Source organism: Homo sapiens, chromosome 17 (assembly GCF_000001405.40).
Source record: "Homo sapiens chromosome 17, GRCh38.p14 Primary Assembly".
Taxonomy (NCBI): domain Eukaryota; kingdom Metazoa; phylum Chordata; class Mammalia; order Primates; family Hominidae; genus Homo; species Homo sapiens.
Genome location: NC_000017.11, coordinates 12,619,961 through 12,647,390, shown reverse-complemented (window position 1 = coordinate 12,647,390; position 27,430 = coordinate 12,619,961). Strand labels below are relative to the sequence as shown.

The 27,430-nt window shown below is 41.5% G+C and overlaps 1 long non-coding RNA gene across 2 annotated transcripts in view, besides 2 other annotated features; it reads right to left on the bottom strand.

Annotated features, from left to right (window-relative positions):
* Positions 9,314-9,813: an enhancer, noted in NCBI's record as "H3K27ac hESC enhancer chr17:12540895-12541394 (GRCh37/hg19 assembly coordinates)". NCBI's record gives its function as "activates a minimal SCP1, AML or CMV promoter by ChIP-STARR-seq in primed H9 embryonic stem cells {active_cell/tissue: H9 hESC(primed)}" and the evidence as "EXISTENCE:reporter gene assay evidence [ECO:0000049][PMID:30033119]".
* LINC00670 (long intergenic non-protein coding RNA 670) overlaps positions 10,204-27,430 on the bottom strand; it is an 87,220-nt gene continuing 69,993 nt past the window's right edge. For both annotated transcript variants that reach the window (NR_034145.1, NR_034144.1), the window contains one exon: positions 10,204-12,390. This is a non-coding gene — a long non-coding RNA (long intergenic non-protein coding RNA 670). The remainder of the gene's footprint in view (positions 12,391-27,430) is intronic.
* Positions 15,725-16,924: an enhancer, noted in NCBI's record as "BRD4-independent group 4 enhancer chr17:12533784-12534983 (GRCh37/hg19 assembly coordinates)". NCBI's record gives its function as "activates an origin of replication core promoter dependent on BRD2, P300/CBP, MED14 and CDK7 cofactors, and independent of BRD4, by STARR-seq in HCT116 cells {active_cell/tissue: HCT116}" and the evidence as "EXISTENCE:reporter gene assay evidence [ECO:0000049][PMID:35650434]".

Here is a 27,430-nt window from a genome sequence, read left to right as displayed (position 1 = left end):
GAATAGCCAGAAAGAATTGCTAGATGTATCCAGGTATATCCTGCCATCAGGGGATCAGGCAGGTAGAGACAGTATCTAGCCATGAAGTATTTAACCACCATACTTCAAGCATCCCTTAGAAATTTCTTAATTTATTACCATGCAGGGGCTGTTGTGCAATTGACACTGGCAAAAAAATACTTCTGCATTTTACTAAGTCTACTTTTGAGCCGCCCAATGTTTTCATCATAATATTTACTTCTGGGTAAATAGGCTAAATTCTCTGATTCTGATACAAAACAGAAAGATCAGAGAATGAAAATAAATAGATGACATGGCTGTTTAAAGATAATGTAAAATGTTTTCTAGCCGCATAAATATTTGATTGTAAAACTTTCAATATGTTGTGTCTATTAACTAGTAATGTACAACATTTAAGTAATTCGGCAAGCCAAAGTGGGCTAGGGTCATGCAGGGGGACAGAGTGAAGGCCCAGCCTGGCGAGATGCCAACTTGCAGTCAAAACACAACCCCACGCCGACCCCAGACTCTCTATCCATTCCATCTGGAGCTCTTTGGTCAGGATCAAGCCATAGACCAGGGCAGAGGGTTAAATAGGACACTTTGGGGACATTTAAAATTTTCCTATCACTTTCTCTGGCTAATTGGGTTTGCACAGAAGTCTCTACATATCGTTTATGTTTGATCCTTTTGATATCCCATTCTTTTGGTACTCTTTGAAATGACTCTTTGATTTGTGTGTTTGGGATGAAAGGTATGAATGATGTTTCTGGAATAATATGCATCCTTTCTATGGATTCACTTTAAAATTCCCTCCAGCTCACCGTATCCTCGTCTCTTCACATGCATTATCTGCCAAAGAGCGTTGGATTTGCAGTTAAGAGGGCTGAGTTTGAGAGACCTGTTTTGCTATTTGAATTTTGGCAATTCGCCTCATCTCTTTGGGCCTCAGTTTTATCATCTGTTAAATGAGACTAGTAAGATGTACCCTACCCTTTCTCCGTGTGACGATACATATAACGTGCCATCTATGAGGAAGAAGCCCTCACCAGACCCTGAATCTGCTGCCACCTTGATCTTGGACTTCCCAGCCTCTAGAGTTGACTCTGGTGAGGATTAAAGGTAAAAACATTGTAACATAGTTAACACAGTCCCTGACCCATTAGGGCGGTTTTCAATTTAGCCACATCCAGCAACCCACAAATCAATCCGTGAGGCACTATGAGGAAGATGGTTTTTACACTTTGGGCTCACATCACGAGATTCATTTTAAATTGTGGGAAGACATGAGGCAAGTGCAATATTTATTTCCTTATTGCATGGAATTAAAACTCCATTAAAAAGATGTATAACATAGAAATAATCTGTAAATTCTGGTGAACTTTAAAAATGGCAAAATAAAAATATTTATACACACACATACACACATGCACAAAGATATCCCCTAGCTATTACACTGGATGGTTGTGACTATCAAAACCAAAAACCAGATAGAACAATTAAAAGTATAAAAGTCCTAATTTAAGAGAGTATTGAAAAGAATTTGCCTCTCTTTGTATGTACTCCAATATTTAACACTGAGCCTAGCACACTGAAAATCTCTTTTTTTTTTTTTTAATTATACTTTAAGTTCTAGGGTACATATGCACAACGTGCAGGTTTGTTACATATGTATACATGTGCCATGTTGGTGTGCTGCACCCATTAACTCATCATTTACATTAGGTAAATGTTCCCCATCCTGTGTCCAAGTGTTCTCATTGTTCAATTCCCACCTATGAGTGAGAACATGTCATGTTTGGTTTTCTGTCCTTGTGATAGTTTGCTCAGAATGATGGTTTCCAGCTTCATCCATGTCCCTACAAAGGACATGAACTCATCCTTTTTTATGGCTGCATAGTATTCCATGGTGTATATGTGCCACATTTTCTTAATCCAGTCTATCATTGATGGACATTTGGGTTGGTTCCAAGTCTTTGCTATTGTGAATAGTGCCGCAATAAACATACGTATGCATGTGTCTTTATAGCAGCATGATTTATAATCCTTTGGGTATATACCCAGTAATGGGATTGCTGGGTCAAATGGTATTTCTAGTTCTAGATCCTTGAGGAATCGCCACGCTGTCTTCCACAATGGTTGAACTAGTTTACAGTCCCATCAACAGTGTAAAAGTGTTCCTATTTCTCCACATCCTCTCCAGCACCTGTTGTTTCCTGACTTTTTAATGATCGTCATTCTAACTGGTGTGAGATGGTATCTCATTGTGGTTTTGATTTGCATTTCTCTGATGGCCAGTGATGATGAGCATTTTTTCATGTGTCTGTTGCCTGCATAAATGTCTTCTTTTGAGAAGTGTCTGTTCATATCTGTCACCCACTTTTTGATGGGGTTGTTTGATTTTTTCTTGTGAATTTATTTAAGTTCTTTGTAGATTCTGGATATCAGCCCTTTAAGGAATGAGCACCAACAGCAGCCTAAGAGATTCTCCTTTCACCCAGTTCTCCAAGGAGTGTGTTCAAAGAGGATGAACTTCCAGAATGAGGAACCCCAGCTAATCAAGACTCACAATGTGCCCTTGCTGTTTTCAAGGGATACATCCTGCAATCTCAAGAAGCTCCAAATTCCTGAATTTGCAAAGCACAGTGTGACATTCCATTGGTTTTAAGAGGCTTTAGTTTTTTAGTGATAGTAAAAGATGAAAATATGTGCATATCAGGTTCCATAATGTTGAAGGGGAGACAAAACTGCATTGAGATGTGACTGTGGGGTGACAGTCTGTACCCACTCCTGCCTAGGAAGCTCACTTCTGCATTCCACTAACCACCCCACTGATTGAATTCCCAAGAAAAAGGCTAATTTCTAGACATGGACTCTAGGCCCATCAACAGTAAAAAACCAGAAATCTTAAGACAGCCAATGACAAGGGACTGTTGGTTTGCTATTTTCATTAACTGGGAAGAAAGTAATTTCATAAATCAACGTGAATAATGTACTAATTATAATTCTCTGTATTCATTTGATTCACTCAGAGACTCCTTGAGGCCTCCCGCAGTCACATCTACGTAACAGGATTGCTTCAACTCACCTGTGTTGAAACTCTTCCTTCCTATTTTATGAAGTAGTGTAAAGGCATTCATATTGAAAGGCCTACAATCTAACTACTTTTAACAAATTGTATAGTCTCCTGTGCCTGAGTTTACAATAGAGTGTATACATATCCTGTGTCCCCTTTTCTCATTCATTGTCTCACTCACTAAATATTTAGGGTGTTTACTATGTGCAAAACAGAGAAATGTTGCATTCTGTGGGTGACAAAGTCCAAGACATTATTTGTACTTTGTCTCTGAAGATCTCACAATCCCTGGGGAGGAGCTGGTAAAAGTCATTTTTTTCAGCAGAATATGAGCTTGAGTGCAGGGGCCTCATCAGCCTTGTTTGCTAATACAATCTGAACAGTGCTGAGCACACGGTAGGCAACAAAGAAATATTTAGTGAGTGAACAGAGGAATAGATGTAACACCTACTGTGTCTTATGGAACCTGAAATGCACATATTTTCATCTTTTACTATCACTAAAAAACTAAAACCTCTTAAAACCAATGGAATGTCACACTGTACTTTGCAAAGGTTTTTTTTTTCTTTTTTAGTCTTACATAAAATAATGATTTATCTCACAATAATTGTGTTAACTTTGATGACATATGGCAAATAATGATACAAGGTAGGATTTATTGATTACGTATTAGAATACAACAACTAATTCCCTGGATATTCTGAAGGGGAAAATTTCTTTGTGGACTGGGCTAGACCACATTTAAAGAGGAGAAAGGAACGACTTATTGAAACTGGAGGTTGGAGCAGGGAAGGTAGAAGTGGAAGGAGGTGAAATGAGGTTTCAAATGTGTACACAGAAAGGTATAGAAGGTGAAATGATTAAAATATGTTTCACGCCTATAATCCCAGCACTTTGGGAGGCCGAGGCAGGTGGATCATGAGGTCAAGAGATCGAGACCATCCTGGCCAACATGGTAAAACCCCATGTCTCTACGAAAAATACAAAAATAAGCTGGGCATGGTGGCCTGTGTCTGTAATCCCAGCTACTTGGGAGGCTGAGGCAGGAGAATCGCTTGAACCCGGGAGGCAGAGGTTGCAGTGAGCCGAGATCGTGCCATTGCACTCCAGCCTGGTGACAGAGTGACACTCCGTCTCAAAAAAAAAAAAAAAAGGTTCAGGGCAATTGGAAAGATAGACAGTATTGGAATGGAGAGTTCATTTTGAGAAGTAGTACAGCATAAGCCTGTAAATAAAGGTAGGATCATGGCAGACTTTAGAGGGCTTTGAATAACAAGCTGGCAAGTTTGAATTTCATCTTGTATATACATTTTGAGCCAACAAATGACATACTAAAAATAGTGTTCTAAGAAGATTAATCTGTGCAGGGTGGATTGAAGTGTGTAAAACTGGAGACTGGGAGAGAAGTCAGGAAATTATCTTTGTAATTTAGCTGAAATGTAATGAGGGATTGTACTGGGGTGTTAGAAATAAGAATGGGGAACAGAGGTGAGATATGAGTTAAATTTTGAAGGAATTGGTTAATGATGTCTCTTAAGTGTATTGAAATGACCAAGAATATTAAATCCAGATGAAAATAATTAGCCTTTAAAAATTTATTTTTCCATTATACAGTATTTTTGGCAAGGATTGTCCTTACATTTGCATTTCGTTTCAAAAGCATTTTAACAAAAAAACATGAAACTTCCCTCTAGTCTAAATATCACTGTTCTTATTTACACTTTGCCTTCTTCAATCTTGCATTACCTTTTTAGATTTTGCTTACCTGTTTATTTTGCGGGAAGCACCTTCTCTGGTCTATTTTGCAGGAACTGATGTACTGGTGAAGTTTGAAAGTCTCTGCACGTCTGAGAGCATCTCCCTCTGACATGGCTTTTTCTTATCTAAAATTTGTAGAGTTGACTTCCGGTGTTTGTACTGTGAAGAAGAAGTTTGATGTGGAATTGACTTTTTTCTTTTGTGGGTAAATATTAAACATACTTGGATGCTTGTGGGATTTGTTTTCTCCCTAAAGCTTGAATTTAAACAAAAAAAAGGGGAAAACAAAAGATGTCTGGATGTGTGTTTCAGTTCATTCATTGTGCAATACTTGGTGAATCCTTTACACTGAAGATTCATGTCTTTATTAGTTCAGGAATAATTTTCTTCTATTTCTTTGACTGTTAATCTTTTGAATACTCTGATCGCTCGGGAATTCTTGTTACACATAACTACTAGATCTTCTGGATCATTCTCCTTGGGTTCCTCATCTTCTTAATACCTTATCGTGTTTATCTCATATGCCAAGTTACATGGAAACTTTTTGAACTTGCACTGTAATTAAATCATTCCACTTTAGACAGAATCCATTTGCTATATACTGCATTTTAAAAGGTATCTGTCACTTTAAAATTGCTAATAAATACTTTCTGATGTCAGATTGCTTCCTTTATGGGACCATTTTTATAAATGTGAAATCTTCCTGAATAGTTTTGAAAATATGTATTAGAAATAAAGTTGCCTGTGATTATTTTAATAACTGTTATTAAAATGGGGGTAATTTTCTTTGATTTGTCAGATCAGTTCCCTTTTGGAGGACTGATGAATATTTTGACATCCTGCTGCTTTGCTTCACAATCATTTGAACAGATGACTTGTCCAGTATTCAGAGATGAGGTGGGCTCTATCAAGGATTTTGAGTATTGGTACTTAAATATTTCAGGTCCAAATGAAGGGAAAGGGGAATGTTTAGATTTATAGATCTTTAGTTTGCCAGATTAGAGATCCAGTATCTTGTAGAGAATAGGTGGAGACTTCACACTAGAGGCATCTGTGGGAAGGGGGAGCCAGGCCAGGGCACCATGACATCACTCTGCATTTTAATTATCAGCAGGTATGCTGGATCCAGCTCCCACTGGTTTGTGAGATTCAACTGCTTCAATCTCTGTGAATCTGCGTTCCCAACTCTGTGTTCAGTGATGCCACATTGCTAACTGAAAATAGATGGTGGTGGGAGTATTTACACCACTGAAATTGGCAAACACTACAAATCATGGCTCCCTGCTCTGCCACTGACTGATGCTTGTTAAACATTTACCAGCATATGACTGCTCATAGAAAACATAGTTAGCTTTCCATTTTCCCATGTCCAATGTCTAAATATGTCTTGAGAAAATCTGTGCTGAAATTGAAGCTTGATTTTGGTATTTTTGACGCTTCCTCCCTGTTCTGGGCTGCATTGTGCCCCCTCTCCAAATTCATATGTTGAAGTCTTAACCCCTGGTACATCAGAATATGACTGTATTTGGAGATAGGGCCTTTAAAGAGGTAATTAAGTTAAAATGAAGCTGTTAAGGTCATTGTATTAAGTCCCTACTCCAACCTGACTGGTGTCCTTATAAGAAGAGGAAATTTGGACATACAGAGTCACCAGGGTTGCACATACACAGAGGAAAGACCATGTGAGGACACAGTGAGAAGGTGACCATCTGCAAGCCAAGGAGAGAGGCCTCAGGAGATACCAATCCTGCTGATGTCTTGATCTTGCATTTGAAGCCTCCAGAACCATGAGAAAACACATTTGTTTTTTGAGCCATCCAGTCTGCGATACTTCGTTATGGCAACCCTAGCAAACTAATATACCCCTCTGATGATTCTGTACTTTCTCATTTTCCACCTTCCCCCTTTCCCCACTAGAATGTCAATCAGGGACTTTTCTAATTCTTTACAGAATGGCATAGAATCAGGAAATGAAACTACATCCTACTTATCAACTTGCATGTTTAGTGATGGGGTTAGAGATCCCATGCTCAAGGGCCAGGTCAGCTGTTTCATGCTGCAAAACTGCTGATCCCTTTCTCCCCCTTGTCTTCCCACACTTGCTCCCAGAGTCTTGTGTTCATAGGCAGTGAGGCAGGTGAGAGAATGGAGCAGTGTGAAGAATCACACATAGGTGCAAATACAAGTCAAGGGTGAAGGGCTCAAACATGATGGACGGACAGAGTTATCTTCATATAAGGAACAAAAGACCTTTTTTTGGCCACAAAGAACTGCCTTTGTCCAAAATATGCTATCTTAGAAAACTATGAAATCATGGACTGAGAGCTGTTCACAGATTAAATTCTGAAATTGGCATCTTTAATTCCAAAAACATCCCCAGTTGATTCAACTCCTTATCAGGTTCCCACCTAATTATGTCAAATGTATCTCACTATGCAAAAAAGGCCTCTGGATGAAGCAACTTCAGTTTTTCATGAAGAATTATAATTCAGGCAGGCCTCTTGATTTTGTTTAATACCAGGCTTACAGTTGACTTTTAAATGATTGATAAATTATGATTATGTAAGAACATTTGTATGGAAAGACTGTCTTTAATATGGCTAAATAAATATTTGTCTAATTTATTCTTGGCTCGGTTTGTGATCATAGAGATTTTCTGAGGTAACATGCTCTGTGAGATAGAAAGATGATTTATAACACTGGACTTACTCAAATACATGCATGGTAGCACAATACATAAGAGATTAATTCCTTCAGCAACTGCTTACCGAAGCCCTGTTGTCTACTAGACACTAAGGATGCAAAGACGAATGAGATATAGCTTCTGTCTTAAACAGTTACAAGGCATATGAATGGTTCCTCATAGTAAAGCAGGTTCTAATAGCAGCTCTACCATTACATGCTGTGTACACCTAGAGAAGTTATTTCACCTCCTTGAGCCTCAGTTTCCTTATCTATAAAATGGGGTTACTAAATCTTGTCCGATCATTCCTAAGTCTCAACTAAAGTCAAATAAATGACAGTTAAAGAACATGCTAATGGCAAACTTTTGGCCTTCTCAGGTCTCATCTTAAAGGCAGAAACATGAGTGCTCATTGGTTTGTCTTTTCTGGGCAGAATGACCCTCCTCTTTGCACTGGCTGGGCAACTTTGGTCAACCTTGGTCTACCTGAGCCTGGGCACTCAGAAGAGGAGGCCCTAGGGTTGCTTCATTTCCTGCTTCTTTCCTTTCACACATTCCCTGCCCACTACGTCACAATTTCCACTCTTACAACTGATTGTGGGACAGAAGAGTATAGGTTTTGAGTTTGAGGGTCAGGAAGGATAGATCTTATTTTCCTTTCCATGCTAATATATTGATTTCTCTTCCATCTATTGCATTTGTTTAGAAGGAGATACTTTGGAGATCTGCCAGTAAATCACCAAATCAATAAATCTAATCAATAAATCACTCAACAGGAGCCAGATTCAGCCACAGGGACTGAATCTGACCATTTGTTTGCATTGAGTCCCAGGAACAAGACCATCCATTTGCAATGAGGCTTTTCTAGGCCAGATGCTTCTATGCTCACCATGAATTCTCACAGTAATTGAATTTTGCAGTTGAGAAAAAGCCAAGAGAGTTTAAGTAATGTGTCCACAATCACACAGGTCTGCCTGCCCCCATGGTTCAGCTCCGTCTACTCTGCACAGATTGCCTCTCTACTGTCTCCAGGTTCCTAATGAGTTGTCAGAAGAGAGGTATTCATGGAAGCCCAGCTTCTGGGCTTAGAACAGATTTGCACAACTATCATTTTCTGTCTCTCATATTTTGGGTCCATACTTTGAATTATATGCAAACATCTCTTTGTCTCAGCTCCTGGCCATTACTGACTTTGGAGCTGTCTGACATTAAAATCAGAAAGGAGAATTTATATTGAAAAAAGAGGAAGTTAAGGGACCTAGATTCTGAATTCCATTTCTCTACTACTTTGCCATGTGATCTTGGCCAAGACACCTCACAACCCGATCTTAGTTCCTCATCAGTAAAAAGAGGAGTGTTGAGTTGGGTTTTGCATTCGAGAGTGGTGGAGAGTCAGCCGGAGCCCAGGTGCTGTATTTCCACCCCAAGTCTTTCACCAGCGGCTCTGTAGACCGTACACAGCCCTTTTATTGGAGGGGAGAAGGGAGATCAGGCTGGCACTCTTCTTAGTTCCCTTCTGCCCATTAGCTGGCACATCCTCAGAGAATAAAAATGTCTTTTCATGTAACTCTAATCAAAACACACTTTGAAAGGGGTGCCTGTTGCCAAAAATTTATATTTATCCCAAGAAAAATTAGAAACTATTTTTGGATTATCTGCACATGACTTGCCTGCCTTGCTGCAGATAAACAGGAATTACTTGTATACAGACCCCTGTGCTGCTCAGAACACGTGTCATGGAACACGGGTCACATCTCGCCCTGCAACTCTGCCTGTGGAAATGAACGTTCTACATGCCTGCTTGCCTCCCTGGCAATTCCAAATTATGAGAAGATTAAGGGTATGGGAAGCACTCAGATCTACGTTTGAATTCTGTTTCCCATGCTTCCCAGCTCTTGTAGCTTTGGGCAAGTTATTTAACTTTTCTGAGCCTCAGTTTGCTCATATGTAAAATGGGTATGATAATGCCTAATTTCAAGGTTGTTGTGAGGATTAATTGGAATAAAGCCTTGTTATTTGGTTGTCCCTGAATGATTGCTATGTTTTTTCCCAGATCTGGTATTGGCCTAGAAATAAAAGGTCTTAATCTACATTTAAGAAGATGACTAGTGGGCCGAGGCAGATGGATCACCTGAGGTCAGGGGTTCGAGACCAGCCTGACCAATATAGTAATCCCCGTCTTTACTAAAAATACAAAAATTAGTCGAGTGTAGTGGTGGGCACCTGTAATCCCAGCTACTTGGGAGGCTGAGGCAGGAGAATCACTTGAACCTCAGAGGTGGAGGTCGCAATGAGCAGAGATCACACCACTGGACTGCAGCCTGGGTGACAGAGTGAGACTCTGTCTGAAGAAGAAGAAAGAAGGAAGAAGGAAGAAGAAGAAGAATGAGGAGGAGGAGGAGAAGGAGAAGAAGAAGAGGAAGAAGGAGAAGGAGAAGGAGAAGAAGCAGAAGGAGAAGGAGAAGGAGAAGAAAAAGGAGAAGGAGAAGAAAAAAGAGAAGAAGAAGAAGACTAGAGAAATTAGAGAAACACACACACATTTACCTAATCCTCAACATGCTTTGGCCAGGGAGAACTTACTCTGGAGAGGGAAATGCTATAGACAGCAGGCTGCAGAGCCAGACTCTCGAATTCAAATGGCCTGTGAGTCAGGCATGTGTCATAGACGCCAAGAGCAGCATGAGGTGATGGAAATGCAGTTTATTGTGGCATGCATATGTTATCTACAAGTATTCAGAGTTTAAAATTTCAAAACACTCTGTCAGTGCTGCAACCATGTGGATAGGCTGAATGTGGCCCTTAGAGGTCCAATTTGTAACTCCTGCTCCAGAAGAACATGCTACTCCATTCCTTTAAAAGCTGTCTAAAAAAATGAAAATGAAAAAAAAATCACCTCCCCTGGAACTTGTCCTTTCTTTCTTTATTCATAGCTATTGGACTTTCCTGGTGCAGGCATTCCTTTACAAGCATTTGCTAAGCACTTATCTTGCACAAAACATTGTGGAATAGCAAAAGAAACTATCAACAGAGTAAACAGACAACCTACAGAATGGGAGAAAATTTTTGCAAACTATGCATCTGACAAAGGTCTAACATCCAGCATCTATAATGAACTTAAATAAATTTACAAGAAAAAAACAAACAACCACATAAAGAAGTGGGCAAAGGACATGAACACTTTTCAAAGGAAGACATGTATGTGGCTGAAAATCACATGAGAAAAAGCTCAACATCACTGGTCATTAGAGAAATGCAAATCAAAACCACAAGATACCATCTAACGCCAGTCAGAATGGCTATTATTAAAAAGTCAAAAAACAACAGGCACTGGCGAGGTTGTGGAGAAAAAGAAATGCTTTGACCCTGCCGGTGGGAGTGTAAATTAGTTCAGCCACTGCGGAAGACAGTGTGGTGATCCTTCAAATACCTACAGACAGAACTACCATTCAACCCAGCAATCCCATTACTGGATATATACCCAAAGGAATATAAATAATTCTATGATAAAGACACCTGCACGTGTATGTTCATTGCAGCACTATTCACAATAGCAAAGACATTGAATCAACCTAAATGCCCATCGATGGTAGACTGAATAAAGCAAAATTGGTACATATACACCATGGAATACTATGCAGCCATAAAAAAGGACAAGACCATGTCCTTTGCAGGGACATGGATGAAGCTGGAGCCCATCATCCTTAGCAAACTAACGTAGGGACAGAAAGCCAGATACCGCACGTTCTCACTTATAAGTGGGAGCTAAATGATGAGAACACATGGACACATAGAGAGGTACAACACATACTGGGGCCTTTTGGAAGGTGGAGGGTGGGAGAAGAAAGACGTAACTAATGGGTACTAGGCTTAATATCTTGGTGATGAAATAATCTGTACAACAAGCCCCCATGACACAAGTTTACCTATGTAACAAACCTGCACTTGGACCCCTAAACTTAAAAGTTAAAAAAAAAAAACATTGTGGAAAAGATAGAAAGGAAAAAATATACAACAATATGGATGCAGTATCCAAATCTAGAGGCAAAGCATCTAGAACCAAAAATAGCATTTTAAGCTATGGAAATATAAAGAGATGGCTTCGACTGGGGTGAGGGGAAGTGCTGGTGTAGGAGGAACGAAGATTAATTCATAATTAAGGTGTCATATGAGCCCTCACCGGTTTTGACAGGCAGCAAAAGAGGGTGATGAGGACATCCTTCATAAGTGATGGTTCTGGGTTTTGCTTGTCTCTTACATGTATGTTTCTTCTCTTTTGCCTATTGTCGTGTTGGAAGCCCCATGAAGGGGGTCCTCTATTTGGTTTTCCTGGTTCCCTCCATGTTCTGTAACACCTATCTTAGTTTCTTGCTATGTACGAATCTTTGTCTGGACACTGAGAAAATGAGATGTCAGGTTTCCCTATCAGTGGGAAGCAAATAGTCTAAGGCATTTGAGGAACACAGATAAAGTTAGTGAGATTAGAGTTGCGACTGAATGAACCCGTGGATTCCTGAGACTGCAGCTGACAGATGAAGTCTCACTCCCGATAACGGTGCATGAGGATTTCCTCCTCAGCTGAAAGGAGAAGAATGACAGGCACACCAGTCCCTAATTGTCCCTAATCACTGATGTTTGCAAACAACTAAGAAGGAAGACCTCACGCATTACAGATCTTACCAGGAAGCGGTTGGTGAGATTATCAGCAGTCTAAGGATAAAGAGTGTTGATTTAACTGTAGGAGGATGGAGCTCGGGAAACTCGGCAAAACCAATGAAAAGGGATCTCCTTCCTTCTCCTGAGGCTTCTCGTCTTGTAGTGACAGGTCATGGTGCTTTTCACTTCAGCCTGTTTAAGGGCTCCAGGAAAGGCAAAGCTGAAACACACGAAGGGATAATAACATTTCCTGAACACCTGTTATTTGCTACAAACCACTAAATGGAGTTCTTTGCCTGGGATAGCTCATTTACTCCTCTTAGCACTCCAGGATTAAATGAGAGGGAGGAATTGCTTTTCTCGTTTGATAATAGAGGAAAATTGAGATTCAGAAACTGCATGCCTTGTCCCACTTCTGGTAGGTCAGGGGGCTGAGCTTCAAATGTAGCTTTGTCTAAAACATAAACTTTCAAAACTACCAAGTAATCTCCCTGTCTTCGGTGGGGGCCCCTAGAAAAGTGACTCTGCCAATGTTGGGTTTGGGGGCAGGAGGCTTTCCAGGGAATGGCTTGGAAATAATTCCTACAAAGGAGTGAGGAAAGCAGGATAGAGCATGAGGAGAAGTTAAACTGTGACGTGTTTCCGATCGAGGTCTCAGCAGATTCAAGCAGAGTAAGACCTATTAGGCACTCGCCTCAGGGCAAAATGTCAGGGTGCCAGAAAACTCAGTAATCAAGATACATATTTTAATGCAGTATTCAAACGTTTAAACTAATGTAAAAAAAAATCATGATGAACAAAGAACCAAAATTTCAAATAAAAGGCAAAATCCAACCCTGTATTTACATGGCTGACCTCACTTGCCCCACCCTAATCCCCATCCTGTCAGGGTTTGCATTTACCACATTTTAAAAAAATTTATGATTATAATTTTTTAGAGGAAGGGTCTCACTCTGTTGCTCAGGCTGGAGTGCAATGGTGCGATCACAGCTCACTGCAGCCTAGAACTCCTGAGCTCAAGCCATGCTCCAACTTTGGCCTCCTGAGTAGCTGGAACTACAGGCACACACCACCATGCCCAGCCAATTTTTGATTTGATTTGATTTTTTTTTTATTTGTGGCAATGGAGTCTCACTATATTGCCCAGGCTGGTTTCAAATGCCTGTTCTCAAGCCATGTTCTCTCCTTGGCCTCCAAAGATGCTGGGATTGCGGGAGAAAGCCACTATGCCCACAGCCCTATAAAATATTTTGTGCCGGGCGTGGTGGCTCACGCCTGTAATCCCAGCACTTTGGGAGGCCAAGGTGGGCAGATCACGAGGTCAGGAGATCGAGACCATCTTGGCCAACATGGTAAAACCCCGTCTCTACTAAAAATACAAAAATTAGCTGCGCGTGGTGGTGCTTGCCTGTAATCCCAGCTACTTGGGAGGCTGAGGCAGGAGAATTGCTTGAACCAGGGAATCGGAGGTTGCAATGAGCGGAGATCATGCCATTGCACTCCAGCCTGGCAACGGAGCAAGACTCTGTCTCACACACACAAAATTTTAATACTCTATTATAAACTTTTTGCATTAACTTTTTAAAATATTGATTTAAATATTTATTTGCTTGTTTATTGAGATTTTTTGGTTCTCCCTTAAATTTCGCATCTCAGTCAAGTTCTTCACTCACCTCACCCTAGTTCTGGCCCTGAATCCCAGGGAACTCTGGATCTGGGATAATCCTTCAGAGTTGTCCTGCCTTAAAGAGATGAGATCAGGCCTTTTTTTTTCTCCCATCCCCAGAACCAGTTATTGGATAGATGTGTTCCTAGGAAGAAGATGTAAGCTTGGGTGATTCCCATTAGCTGAGAGCAAATCTCTGAATAGGATTCAGCTGAGAGCCAGAAGCCCCCAACACTCCCAGAAGCTGGTCGGCTCTGGGAGTTACAGCCTTGTAACCACTACACTTCCCAACGCAACTAACCTCAAGTCCAGGGCTTTCCCTACTGTCCCCTTCTCTCAACTAGGGGCAAATCTTGTCATTAGATTAGAACTTCTATGGAGGGAAATCTGCTTGGAGTGTATTGTTTACAAAATAAAAATTTCCAATATCATGTGGTTTATCAAGGAGGATATTCAGGGTTGGAACTATTTATGCGTCAATTCAAGAGTTCTGTGCTGTTATTTCCATCTGCAAAGGTCATTCTACTAAGGCTAGAACTTAAGCCCCAGGGAGTTTCTTGGCTTAGTGAAGACTTCTAGTTTTCAACAGCGATGAGACAAGGAGTGTCTGAATTCATTCAGCATCAGCCTCCAACTCCACCCCACACGTATCCGCTGGTAAGTACCTCAATTTCATGTGACTTTGCATATTCTCTCATAGTAGCTGTCTGTCGAACCCCTATATGCTGACATTAAGGTTCAGACATGTTCATCTTGCTGCATTCTACCTGGGACTCCATCAGCTTGGAACGCAAATGAGATGAATTGGTGAGAAACAGGCCAGAGGTGCTGTTGCAGGTGCCATGGTCTGTGGAAAAACAATGCTTTGGCTGGTTCACTGGAGACCGTGTCATCAAGGGTGTCAGGCCCAATAGGGACAGGACTTGAGGTCTCATAGGTCAGGGGATTTAGGCAGGGGTTATACCTGGAGGAGGGGTGACCAGCCAAGCTAGGCATTCAGAAATACTTTAATAAGAGCGTACAGGCAGGAGCAGACGGGTAGAAAGTACAGAGAAGGGATTTGAGCAGTGGGGATCTGAGGACTCTAAATGGGATTTGGAACAGGGTTCTGTGGACAGGAGAGGTTGGCTATCCCAGTCCCTCAGTTACAACTGCCATCACATTGTCTTTAAGGACACAGACTCTGAAGCCTGACTGCTTCAGTCTGAATTTCAGTTCCTCTACATACCACCTGTGTTGACCTTGGATAAGTTACTTAACCTCTCTGTGCTTTACTTCTTCAGAGAAGGCAATAATGTGGGCTTTGTGAATTGTCATAATGTAAAAGAGTTAATAAGTGTAAAGCACTTAGAACAGTGCCTGGCACAGAGAAAGTGCTGGGGTTTTGTTTGTTTGTTTGTTTTTTGACGGAGTTTCGCTCTTGGTGCCCAGGCTGGAGTGCAATGGCGCGATCTCGGCTCACGGCAACCTTTGCCTCCCGGGTTCAAGCGATTCTCCTGCCTCAGCCTCCTGAGTAGCTGGGATTACAGGCATGCGCCACCATGCCTGGCTAATTTTGTGTTTTTAGTAGAGATGGGGTTTCTCCATGTTGGTCAGGCTGGTCTCGAACTCCCAACCTCAGGTGATTCACCCACTTCGGCCTCCCAAAGTATTGGGATTACAGGCATGAGCCACTGGGCCCGGCCTGGTTATTTTTTTTCAGACATCTTGTCAATTCTTCCTTTACCTGTTCTCTCCCCTATTTACCTTCTCCCTTTCCTTCCTTTTTTCTCTTTTTTCCTTAACAGGTCCTCATGTGAACACAAGTTATTATCCAAAACGTGGTGTCCTTCATGTTTAATTTAAAATCAGGTAAAGGAAAGGGAGCATATTCTTCTACTTCAATTGCTCCTTTCTGCTTCTTTCTGGTTCTCAACTGAGATTTTCCCATGGCTATGAGGCTCCAAATAGAAAACCTGTTTCCTACCCTTGACCTCTGTGCTCATTACCTCATCATTAAGCCTCTATTAGCTTTTTCTGGACCCTAATGTTACCTAGATTAGATTTAACGTGGCATGGTCAAGTACACAAGGAACCATTCAGGCCATCAGAAAGCTTTCTCCATTTCATGAGAAATCTTGAATTCATTTTGAGATGACTTCAGGAGAGTGCAGAGATGTTCTTTTTTTAAAAAGTTATTTTTGCCTGTGGAACACACCATTTCCACAAATAATGAGTCTCATCCAAAACGCCGCTGTGGGCAGGCAGACTCACAGCTCGCGAGACAGTAACTCTTTCCTCCCCCACTCCTCCACTCTCCCATGGCTGGCTCATCAGCATGGAAGAGAAAATTCATCAGCTCTGGAGAGTCATCTTAGAGATACGCAGATTTAAAATATGCAAGACAGTATTGCAAAATTAAAAATCAGTAAAATCCCACAAGCGGAACCAAATGGACAGTTTTTAGTATCTCCTTACTGTTGAGGGTGGAGATAGGAAATTAATAGAGAACCACATAAAGTAGCTTGAAGCAAAAATAACTTGTGAAAAGTGGTGCTAGATTCAGATAAGCCTGAGAATGGACGTTGTTTTCCTTCTACAGAAAGGCAGAAGCATGAAACAGCTCCGTTAAAGAGAAGACAGTATTTGTACTCAGGATTTGAACAAGGCCCATTTATTGAATATAGTTGCAGCACTGGAATCTGCAAGACAAAAGAGAAAGAGATGGATCAAAGTTCAATGAATTAGAATTGTTTGTTTTGAAGCCTAAACATTCCACAACTTCACGCGCTGCAATTAATATTTACCCCAAATTAAGGAAAAGACTAATCTTATTCAGAAGAGAAGTAGATCCGTGAATAATGCAAAACTGGCAACCAAAAGGAGAGGCTCTATCTGTTCGTTCGTCTGTATCTGGAATGTCAATCTGAGCTTCAGAGAATTCATAGACAAGTAGGGAGAAAGCTTTACAGAAAAGACAGATTTGGTGCTGGGATAATAAGTCTAAGCAGGAGTTTACCAGGTAGACAAGGTGTTCTCTCTACCCAGGACACCTCTCCTTGTCCCCTGGCAGATAGGGAGAAAAGAGGCAACCTTCAGGTTTGCTCTTTAGGAGATCTGCATTAGCTGAAATATACAATATTACGGCAGCAATTTTAAGAATCACAGACCTCTCTGGGAATCTCACGAGCATCCTGCTCCCAATGCAAACACACAAATACACAGAACTTAACACACGATTTCAGGAGGTTCCTAAACCTGTTTGTAGGCATGAGGTTGCATGGCTCTAGGCTTAAGAGGAGGAGGCAGAAAAGACCAGAATGGAAACACCTTCCCGTTAACTGAATCAACAACCTGCCCACTGAAGCCGTTGTGGTAGATAACACCAGTGCCGTGTTATTGGTAGTTTGTGGTAGATCATAGTTTAAGTTAACAGCTTTGTGCCTGGCACATAGTTCCTCCCATAGTGTATAAATAATGGACACAGTTATTCTCAAATAAGCCCTTTATTTTGATTATTATATATTTTGGTGTAAAGAAACCCTTATTTTGTGTTAAAATGAAAAGAAATAGTTAAAGCCAGAAGACCCACTTCACATTATCAGTCAAGATCTTGGAACCTGCCAGGAATCTTGCACGCTGCCAGGAAAAAGCAGCCCCTTTATAGAATGGTGTCTGAATACGGCTCCGTTCTGTTAGTGGCACCTTCTCTGTAAACATTTATCGTATAGGATCACGGGGAAAGCTGGCAGCACAAGACTACCTTTTGTGGCAAAGCTGCTTCCTCATGGGAGGGGCGATTACTAAGTTTGGGAAATATTTCTTGAAATTAACAGATTTTGGACATGTCATGGGTACCATACTTGCCTTAGACATGCAACTTCAAGAAGAATTTTACTACCTCGAACTCCCCCTAACTTCTGCCCTCCCAACCAGACTGTTACCCCTTGAACTCTTCTATATAGAATTATGGAGACCTTAGGATCTCTGCTGATGAATGCTGTAAGCATGTCAGGGTAAGCGTGGGTTCTCTGGAAAACTAATGGTTTTCTTATTTTCCTGCAAAAGTAAATTTAGGACAACATATCATTATTAGATTTATAACATGGACTTTTTTTTTTCTTATTTATTTCTGGAGAAAGCACAGGAAGATACTCTTACCTACCATTTTAAGGTTTTTTTGTTTTGTTTTTGTTTTTGTTTTAACAGAGTCTCTCTCTGTCGCTCAGGCTGGAGCAAGGTGGTGTGATCTCTGCTCACTGCAACCTCCGCCTCCCAGGTTCAAGCAATTCTCCTGTCTCAGCCTCCTGAGTAGCTGGGACTACAGGCGCCCACCATCATGCCCAGCTAATTTTTGTATTTTTAGTAGAGATGGGGTTTCACCATATTTGTCAGGCTGGTCTTGAACTCCTGACTTCAGGTGATCCACCCGCCTTGGCTTCCCAAAGTGCTGGGATTACAAGCGTGAGCCACCACACCCAACCCATTTTAAGGTTTAAATACTTATCATTTATTACAGTTCATGGAAAACAGCATTCTCTTTAAACTTCTGGATTATTTTTTACACCTAATGTGAGCAAATGTTCATAAAGGCTTTTCCAGTATGAAGTGATGGATTTAGGCAAGCGGGTGCTTCTGAAAGACACGAAAAGACTCAGTAAGCACAGTTGCTATTTGTGAAAGAGACTGATGGGTACTTGTGGAAATTAGCAGCTCCCCGTCTTTTTTGGGCTGGTAATTGTTATGTGACCAAGCTCTGGCCAATGAGCTGTAATGGAAGTGTTGTGCGGGGCTTCTAGAAATCTCTTTAAAATAGAGGAGACCACACTTTCCCTCCTTTCTCTCTTTCCTCCTACTTGAAGTGTGCCGTTCTGATAGATAGCCATGATAGAGAATAGCTATTTGAGACCATGAAGTAACCTGGAGAATGGAAGCCACATGCTCAAGTTGGCAGAGGATACAGTTCAGAGCCTGGGTCCCTGATGACTCTTTGGTGTCACCATACCAGACATCACACCAGCCACAGGCTGCCTACCTCTGGACTCTTTTTATGATTAGGCCACTATTAGGAGAGTTTTTTAGTTTAGCAGCAAAATCTAATTCTAATTAATAGACTCTTACAGGAACAATCACTTCAACTCTAAGTTTCTATTGAAATAATTACCCATGGCTTATCTTCCTGTTTGGTAACTGTCTGAGCATTCCAGTCATGTTGTGGCATTGGTAGATCACAGGTCATCAGGCTAATGGAAAGTTACAGTTGACATAGTTTAGCAATAGCTCTGATGCAGCTTCCATAAGACCTAAGAGAATCCCCAGGGCTCTGTCTTTGAGCTGCCGTTGGCCAATCTTCTGTCTTTACCTGGCCTGTTGAATAATGGATATACACAGCCTAGCTCCTCCCTCTGCTATAAATATTCTAGACATGAGAAGCACCAAGCCATTTTTCTTTCAATTATTTTGTGACTCTTATGGCTATTTGACTTTTCTGCGTCGAAAAACAAACATAGAACATTAAGATAAAGCCAGGTCTGCCACAAATGCAAAAAAAAATTTTTTCTCTTCCCTTGAATGTTTTCCTAGTGACTCCTTTTGGAATGTTATTTTGAACTTACAAAGGTTCTTTTAAAAAAACTTTGTATATTTCTTTTAAGCATCCCTTGAGAAAGTCAGATTTAAACTTAGCAAACTCATTGGCTTTTTAAAAGCACGTTCTTAAAATAGTTGATGTAAATCTTGGTGGGAAATCTTTAGGTGCCCCGAATGGACAGAAATAGAAATGTTAATGGAAATGCCATTTGTGAAGACATTGGTGACGGCTCCATTCAGATGGACCCAATCAGGAAAGACGGGAGTTTGCAAACCATTCCAATGTGAGTCTGACTTTAGGAGCCCCAGAGGGGAAAAAAAATAAGAAGCCAGTGAAAGAAAGTAAGAGAGCAGGCGGTTATAATGGTGTTTGGACAGGAGAGACTCCTAGGTATGCATGTTAACACATTACAAAAGTCACAGTTATTTTCTAACCCTTTTATGGAGCAACCTCATCTTTCAAAGATTACAAATATTATTAAATGAATCACTCTGGTAGGTCTGCGAGGCTTGGCATGACGTCAGCTATTTTGCTGTAGGTCAACAGGAGAGTGAGGTCACAGAAGGTCCAAGCTACACGGAAAGCTAGTGGCAAAGGCCTCTGGGTGCTTGGCTTTACAGACTGAGGACTCTGAGCGTCAGATGTTTAGAAATGTGCTTAGTCACATGGGTGGCTCATAGTAAATCCAGGCAGTGCCAGCACAGAGGTGTGGCTTGGTGATGGTGCCGTGAGGCGACAGTAGAGTAGGAGCTTTATCTCCCCCAATTCTATTCCAGACATCCCGCAAACCGCCCCCCAAAATCAATCACGTTTATGAAGAGTTGAGTTTTCCTTAGTGTTATTTTAAGGATGATTAAAAATATCTACAGAAATACAATTCTGAGGCCGGGCGCGGTGGCTCACGCCTGCAATCCCAGCACTTTGGGAGGCTGAGGCGGGCAGATATCCTGAGGTCGGGAGTTCAAGACTGGCCTGACCAACATGGTGAAACCCCGTCTCTACTAAAAATACATAATTAGCTGGGTGTGGTGGCGCGTGCCTGTAGTCCTAGCTAATCGGGAGGCTGAGGCAGGAGAATCGTTTGAACCCAGGAAGCGGAGGTTGCAGTGAGCTGAGATGGTGCCATTGCACTGACTAGGCAACAAGAGCGAAACTCCATTTCAAATAAAAAAAAAAGAAATACAATTTGATTTGTCCCCTACCACTCTCACTTTCTCAGTACTTCTCTCCTGCTCTTCAAACCAGAGGACTTCCATTTCTCTGTAATTCTCCCACCCTCATTAAGTATTCCATATCCACCAGAATTCCCAGCCCACAGGTTTTTATGTGATAGTGCCTTGCTATATTTATTGCTATATTCATTGAAAGGCTTCAGTCTTTAATGGTACCAGGCAGATTTTTAGCATGTTAATAAATGTGGTTTAGGCCAAGCACGGTGGCTCGTGCCTGTAATCTCAACACTTTGGAAAGCTGAGGTGGGAGGATCGCTTGAGGCCAGGAGTTCAAGACTAGCCTGGACAACATAGTGAGACCCCCATCTCTACCAAAAATTAGCCAGCACGGTGGCTGAAGCCGGTAGTCTCAGCTACTCAAGAGGCCAGGCAGGAGGATTTTTTGAGCTCAGAGTTCAAGGTTACAGTGAGCTGTGATCGTCCCATTGCACTACAGCCAAGGCAGCAGAACAAGACCCTGTCTCTAAAAATAAAAATATGAATAAAATAAATGTTGTGGTTTAGAATTATAGATCCCACCATAAGTCTGGGCATTTTTGCTAAGAGTGCACTCTAGTCATGGTGACTATACCTCCTTATCTGCCCTGTTGTGCTACTGCTATTGTTATTATTACTGTCGTCTTTCACTTGAAAAAGTGTCCTAAGGCCGGGTGCAGTGGCTCATGCCTGTAATCCTAGCACTTTGGGAGGCTGAGTTGGGCGGATCACTTGAGGTCAGGAGTTCGAGACCAGCCTGGCCAACATGGCAAAACCTCATCTCTACTAAAAATACAAAAATTAGCCAAGTGTGGTGGGGTGCGCCTGTAGTCCCAGCTACTCCAGACGGTGAGGCAGGAAAATCACTTGAACCTGGGAAGCAGAGGTTGCAGTGAGAGCGGAGATGGCGCCACTGAGCTCCACCCTGGGTGACAGAGCAAGACTCTGTCTCAAAAAAAAAATTAAAGAAAAAAAAAAAACCCAAAAAACAGTGTCCTAAGTTTGCATGATAAATTATAGGCTGTTCCACAGCCAGGGGACAAAGGACTCGCAGGCTTTTGAGTCCAGAGGTTGGAGTGGAGTATGATGTATCCAGGTCCATTGCTGGGGCAGGCCAGTTGGTGTTGGCCATAGATGCCAGCTCCCTGTTATTAGAAAGGTAGATCATCGGGTTCAAGCCTCCTCCAAATGGAGATTTTTCCTCTGTCACATTGCAGACATGGTCCTTAAGGCTGGGACAGGGACCTGGCTTTGAGAAGCAGCCCATCCTGCGTGTAGCACTGACGGCAAGGGAGTTCTTTGTCAGACTGAGCTGAATGCTTCCTTCTGGAAGGGCCAAGGACATCTGCTCTGCCTTCTACCTGATGACACTTTAGATGGTAGTATGGGAGGCCAGAGGATGGAAAGATACTATCTGACTGGAGGGTCAAGAGAGATCATTTGCTTCTCTTCTCTCTCCCAGATCTCTCCCAAGGGCAGCAAGGAGGCGTGGCTCGGCACTCCCCCTGTATCTGTCAGCTGCGTGTCCCCATGCAGGGTGCCAGGTGCTCATCTTTACTGCTGGATGGTCAGTGAGGGCATGGGGCTGGGTCCACTGCCTGTCTTGTTTTAGCTTCCGAATGGCAGGGCAAACACATATGCTAGTTAAAAGCATCTTGAACCTGTGAGGGCAGGTGTTATTGTGTCCCCAGTCCCTTTTGTCCCTGGACTTAAAAATCCATAGGCATTGGATAAACTTCAAAGCAGCTGCCTGGAACCTCCTTCCTCAGCTGACTCCAGAAATGCCTTCAGGGGCTCCCTTCCCTTCCCTTCCCTTCCCCTCCCCTCCCCTCCCCCCTCCTCCCGTCCCCTTCCCCCCCCCTCCCCTCCCCTCCCCTCCCTTCCCTTCCTTTTCCTTTTTTTTTAGACAGGATGTTGCTCTGTCACCCAGCCTCGAGTGCAGTGGCACAATCTCGGCTCACTGCAACCTCCGCCTCCCGGGTTCAAGTGATTCTCCTGCTTCAGCCTCCCAAGTAGCTGGGATTATAGGCGCCCGCCTCCACTCCTGGCTAATTTTTGTTGCGAGCTCATTTTCTAAAACCCTCTGCTTCTCCCTGCAGCGCACGGTTCTTCTTCTATGCATTTGTTCTCCTGGCTGGTAGTTTGGGCTGTGACTTACAATACGATGTTGGCCATTCATTCAATAAATATTTTTTGAGTGTGGAGCTACCTGGTAAACAAGCAGGAGTATTCTCAACCTCACAGGCTTTAAAAAAAATTGACAAATACAAATGGCATATAATTATGGTGTATACATGATGTTTTGAAATCTGCATACATTGTGAAATGGTTAAATGAAACTCATTAACATACGTATTGCCTCAGCTACCTACTATTTCTTTGTGGTGAGAACACTGAAAGTCTATTCTCCCAGGGATTTTCAAGCATACGATACATTGTTATTAACTGTAGTCACTGTGTTGTACAATAGAGCTCTTGAACTTATTCTTCCTAACTGAAATTTTATATCCTTCGACCAACAGCTTCCCACTCTGGCCTTCCCAGCTCTTGGTAACAACTCTAACTTTTATGAATTTGACTTTTTTAGATTCCATATAGAAGTGAGATCATGTGCTATTTGTCTTTTTGTGACTTGCTTATTTCACTCAGCCTAATGTCCTTCAGATCCATCCATGTTGTCATAAATGGCAATATTTCTTTCTTTCTTTTTTAAGGCTGAATATTATCTTTATGGGGCTTTAATTCAGGAGACGTGTTGGAGTCAGGCCTGAGCAAAACACCTCTGGATTCTTCCTTCTCAAGGCCCACTGGGGATTCTGTAGGGATCAGAGGAGCTGAAAGACTAAACAGGGCTAACCCTAAATTAAAAAGCCCAAACTTTGTTTCTTTATGACTTCTAACTAATGCAAATTATTAAGATAATTTAGTAGAAAAAATTCAACCAATCACTCTAACCAAATCTATTTTGGTTATTTTAAACCCTTCTATCTTTCTTATTTATTTCAACCATACTGTGCACACACTTGGCATTTGCTTTTTGTATGCAGATGTCAGAGTGTGGGTACGGCAGGGACTTCCATATGCACGGAGTTGGGAGCATTTGTCCCTTGACCTTCTCCCCTATACTCCGTGTCCTTCCTGCTCCCTGGAGGGGAAGGCCCACTTGAGACACCTTTCAGCTCTTGGCCATTTGGCCCTTCTAGACTTTCTGTCCCTGACTGAGATTATTCAGCAGCGTACACACCTCTGTCTAACTTGCCTAAGAAAAAGCGACGATAAGGACGCTTTCATCCATTTGCTCGACTTCTCTGAGTGGACTCTGGACAGCGCTGTTTGGGAGCCTACTTCTCATATCACTGTCGAAGGTGTCAGCTGTCCAGAAAACTGCCGAGAGAAAATAACACTGAGATTAGCTAAATGCAGATGGCCACCGTGAGCCCTTCTCCAGGGCACGGGTGAGGCGACAGCAAGTAGCATCGGTCTGCAAGGTGGCATTATCTAGAAGTTGTGTTCTTGTCGTTTCTCTTTACTGGTGCACATCACAGAGCTGGAGGGACACAGCTGGATAATCCTGGGTCCAGACTCAGAGCCTTAAGCTCCTTTTACTTATTTTTTTAATAACAAAGAGGAATCTCATGTTTTGCTCCAACGAACGACATAAAGGAGAAGTAGTGCATATTTTAGGAACTTTGTGTCCCAGATACCAAAAAGATTTTGTACCATCCTTAGAATAAGCAGATAGACACCATCTCCCCAGCCCACAAGGTCACAGCTTTGAAGGTTATACGTGTGTTTGGATGTTTACGATCCCATTTCCAGGACCTTTGCACTTTTTATTTCTCCTTTCCGGGAATGCTCTTTCCCCACATCTTGGCAGCCTCCCGCTCTCATTCCATTCACGTCTCTGCTCGAGTGTCATCTTCACACAAGATCTCCCTGACTTCTTTATCTCAAACAGCCTCTCCCTGCAACATAACTTCCTATACTGTACTTTGCTGTCCAGTATTGAGCCCGTGATATGTGACCAATGCAAGCGACGAACCGAGTTCCTAGTTGTACTTAACTGTAGCCAATTTAAATTTGAAAACTGAAGGAATGTAAAATATTGCTCTGTTAAAACAACTCGATTGTCTGATGGAACTACATTTCTCTTTAACCTTGGAACATTTAGCTTCCAAACTGAGAAATGCTGTAAGTGTAAATACATTTGAATTTCAAAGATTTTTAAGGATTTGGAAGATTAGGTAGGGAAAAATGTAAAATATCTCCTTAATGTTTATATTCATTACATGTTGAAGTAAATATATTTTGGATATATTTGGTTTTATAAAATATACTATTAAATTAATTTAATTGCTTTTGTTTTACTTTTAATGTAACTGCTAGAAATTGAAATCTTCTATGGGACAGCATTGTCCTATACTTTGCCTTTTTATTACCTAACATTATATATTTTAATAGAGTCTATATTATACAATATAAATATTATGCATTATTTCTGTATTGTCTGTTTCTCTGGAAGGCCTACTAGAGTCTTACATTTTTTAAGTACTAATATTGGAATGCGTTTGTGTGATTTATACAGAAGAAACATAGCACCTCCTCAGAACTCCAAGGGGAGGAAAATACACTAGATTTGGTCCCAAATAGTAAAAAAATATGAATAGGAGCTAGGCCTAGGTGTGGGTGAGAGACAGGTGATAGGATGTTTAGAATGAGCCAGATGATTCCTTGAGCCATTGTTCCAAATCTTTCATTTAATGTATAGGATATCTGAGGCTGAGTGCTTGACACTCTTCAGGACTCAACTCTTGGGAGGATGCTTCTTTTTCAAATTAAAATTATAGAAGCACAGCGAAATTATTTGGTGGGTTGTAGCTAAGAGGAATTGCCCCTAAATAAATGACAGTGGCTTCTGTGGTCACCCAGAGTCAAAGAGAGCTGTGTATGCATACCTGCCCGTATGTTTCATGGAAAGACAATGTTCTGATCTTGTTTTATCTCTAGAGTCACACACATCATGCCAAAAAAAAAAAAAAAACAAACCCCTATTTGGAATAACTTAGGTAAAAGTAAGATATAATAATCCACTAGTGGAGGCCATGCCGAAGGCTGGCTGGAGACAGGCTAGGGTACAGTGATGCATTTGCTCAATGCTCACAATGATATACTCAATTTTCACAATGATATACTCAACGCTCACAGTGATATACTCAATGCTCACTATGATATACTCAATGCTCACAATGATATACTCAACGCTCACAATGATATACTCAACGCTCACAATGATATACTCAACGCTCACAATGATATACTCAGTGCTCACAATGATATACTCAATGCTCACAATGATATACTCAATGCTCACAATGATATACTGTACAACAGGATGTGCCACAGTCTCTTTGCTATGAGCATAGAGTGACGGAACTTGCAAAATTCCAACCACGCTTTCATTCCATCCCTTCATTCAACAGGTATATTTTGAGTGTCTTCCATGTGCAAGACATTGTTCTAGCTGCTGGAAATATTGCAATGAAAATGCAAGGTCTCACCATACAATCCAGCAGTTTCACTCCTTGGGCTTCAAAACTTACGTCCACACAAAAATCTGCACACAGATGTTTATAGCAGCTTTATACATAATTGCCAAAACTTAGAAGCAACCAAGATGTCCTTCAGTAGATGAATAAATACATTGGTACATCTAGACAACAGAATATTATTCGGCATGAAAAAGGAATGAGCTATCAAGCAATGAAAAGCCATGGAAGAGCCTCAAATGCATGTTGCAAAGTGAAAGAAGCCAATCTGAAAAGGCTTCACACTACAATTCCAATAAGACACTCTGGATAAGCTAAAACTATGAAAACCGTAAAAAGATGAGTGGTTTCCTGGGGTTAGGGTGAAGAAGGGATGAACAGTCAGATCACAGAGATTTTAGGGCAGTGAAACTATTCTGTATGATATTTTAATGATGGATCCATGTCGTTATACATAAAACATACAACACCAAGAGTGAACCCTAATGTAAACTAAGGATTCTGTGTGATAATGATGTGTCAATGTAGGTTCATTAATTACAACAAATGTACCACTCTGGTGAGAAATGCTGATGATAGGAGAGGTTGTGCATGTGAAGCCGACTTATTTTTCTGTTATCCTAACCCTGCTGTAAAAAAAAAGACCTTAGGAAAATAAAACAAATAAACAAAAAAGGTCTCTGTTTTCACGGAAAGCATGTAAAGTGACCATCTTCCCAGTTGTACAAATGTTAAGTAAACATAAAGGCTGAGAGGAGAGAAGGCAGGGGGCATTCTGCTGGCATTGGAGCTCTGGATTCCGGTCCTTCCAGAGACAGGCTGTACTCGTCATTTCCTGCATTTTGCTTTTGTGAGCTTCTGTGGCTTATGCTAATGAGATCTGGGTATAGGTCACTTGCCTGTGCTAGAGTGCTGATGCCTGCAGATGCTACCAACTACTTTGCAAGTTTATCGAGAGCCTTAAATACAATACTAAATGCAAAGTAACTAGTGTGATGACCAGCATACAAAAGGCTCTCAAAAAATGATAATGATGATTTAAAATCTCTCAGAGTTCTCCAAATCTTTCTCAAGCTGAAGATCCCAAAACAACACACAGCTTTATGCAAATCTGGCCATTGCTAAGCACTTCAGAGGAACCTATATCGATTTGGGCTGCAAAAGAGCCTTTTTCTTTTCTTCGTTAAGAAAACAGAATGAAAGATGTAGAGTAAGTCTGAGTCATTCACCTGGTGTAAGCCAGGATTCACCAGGAACAGCTGGGATACACA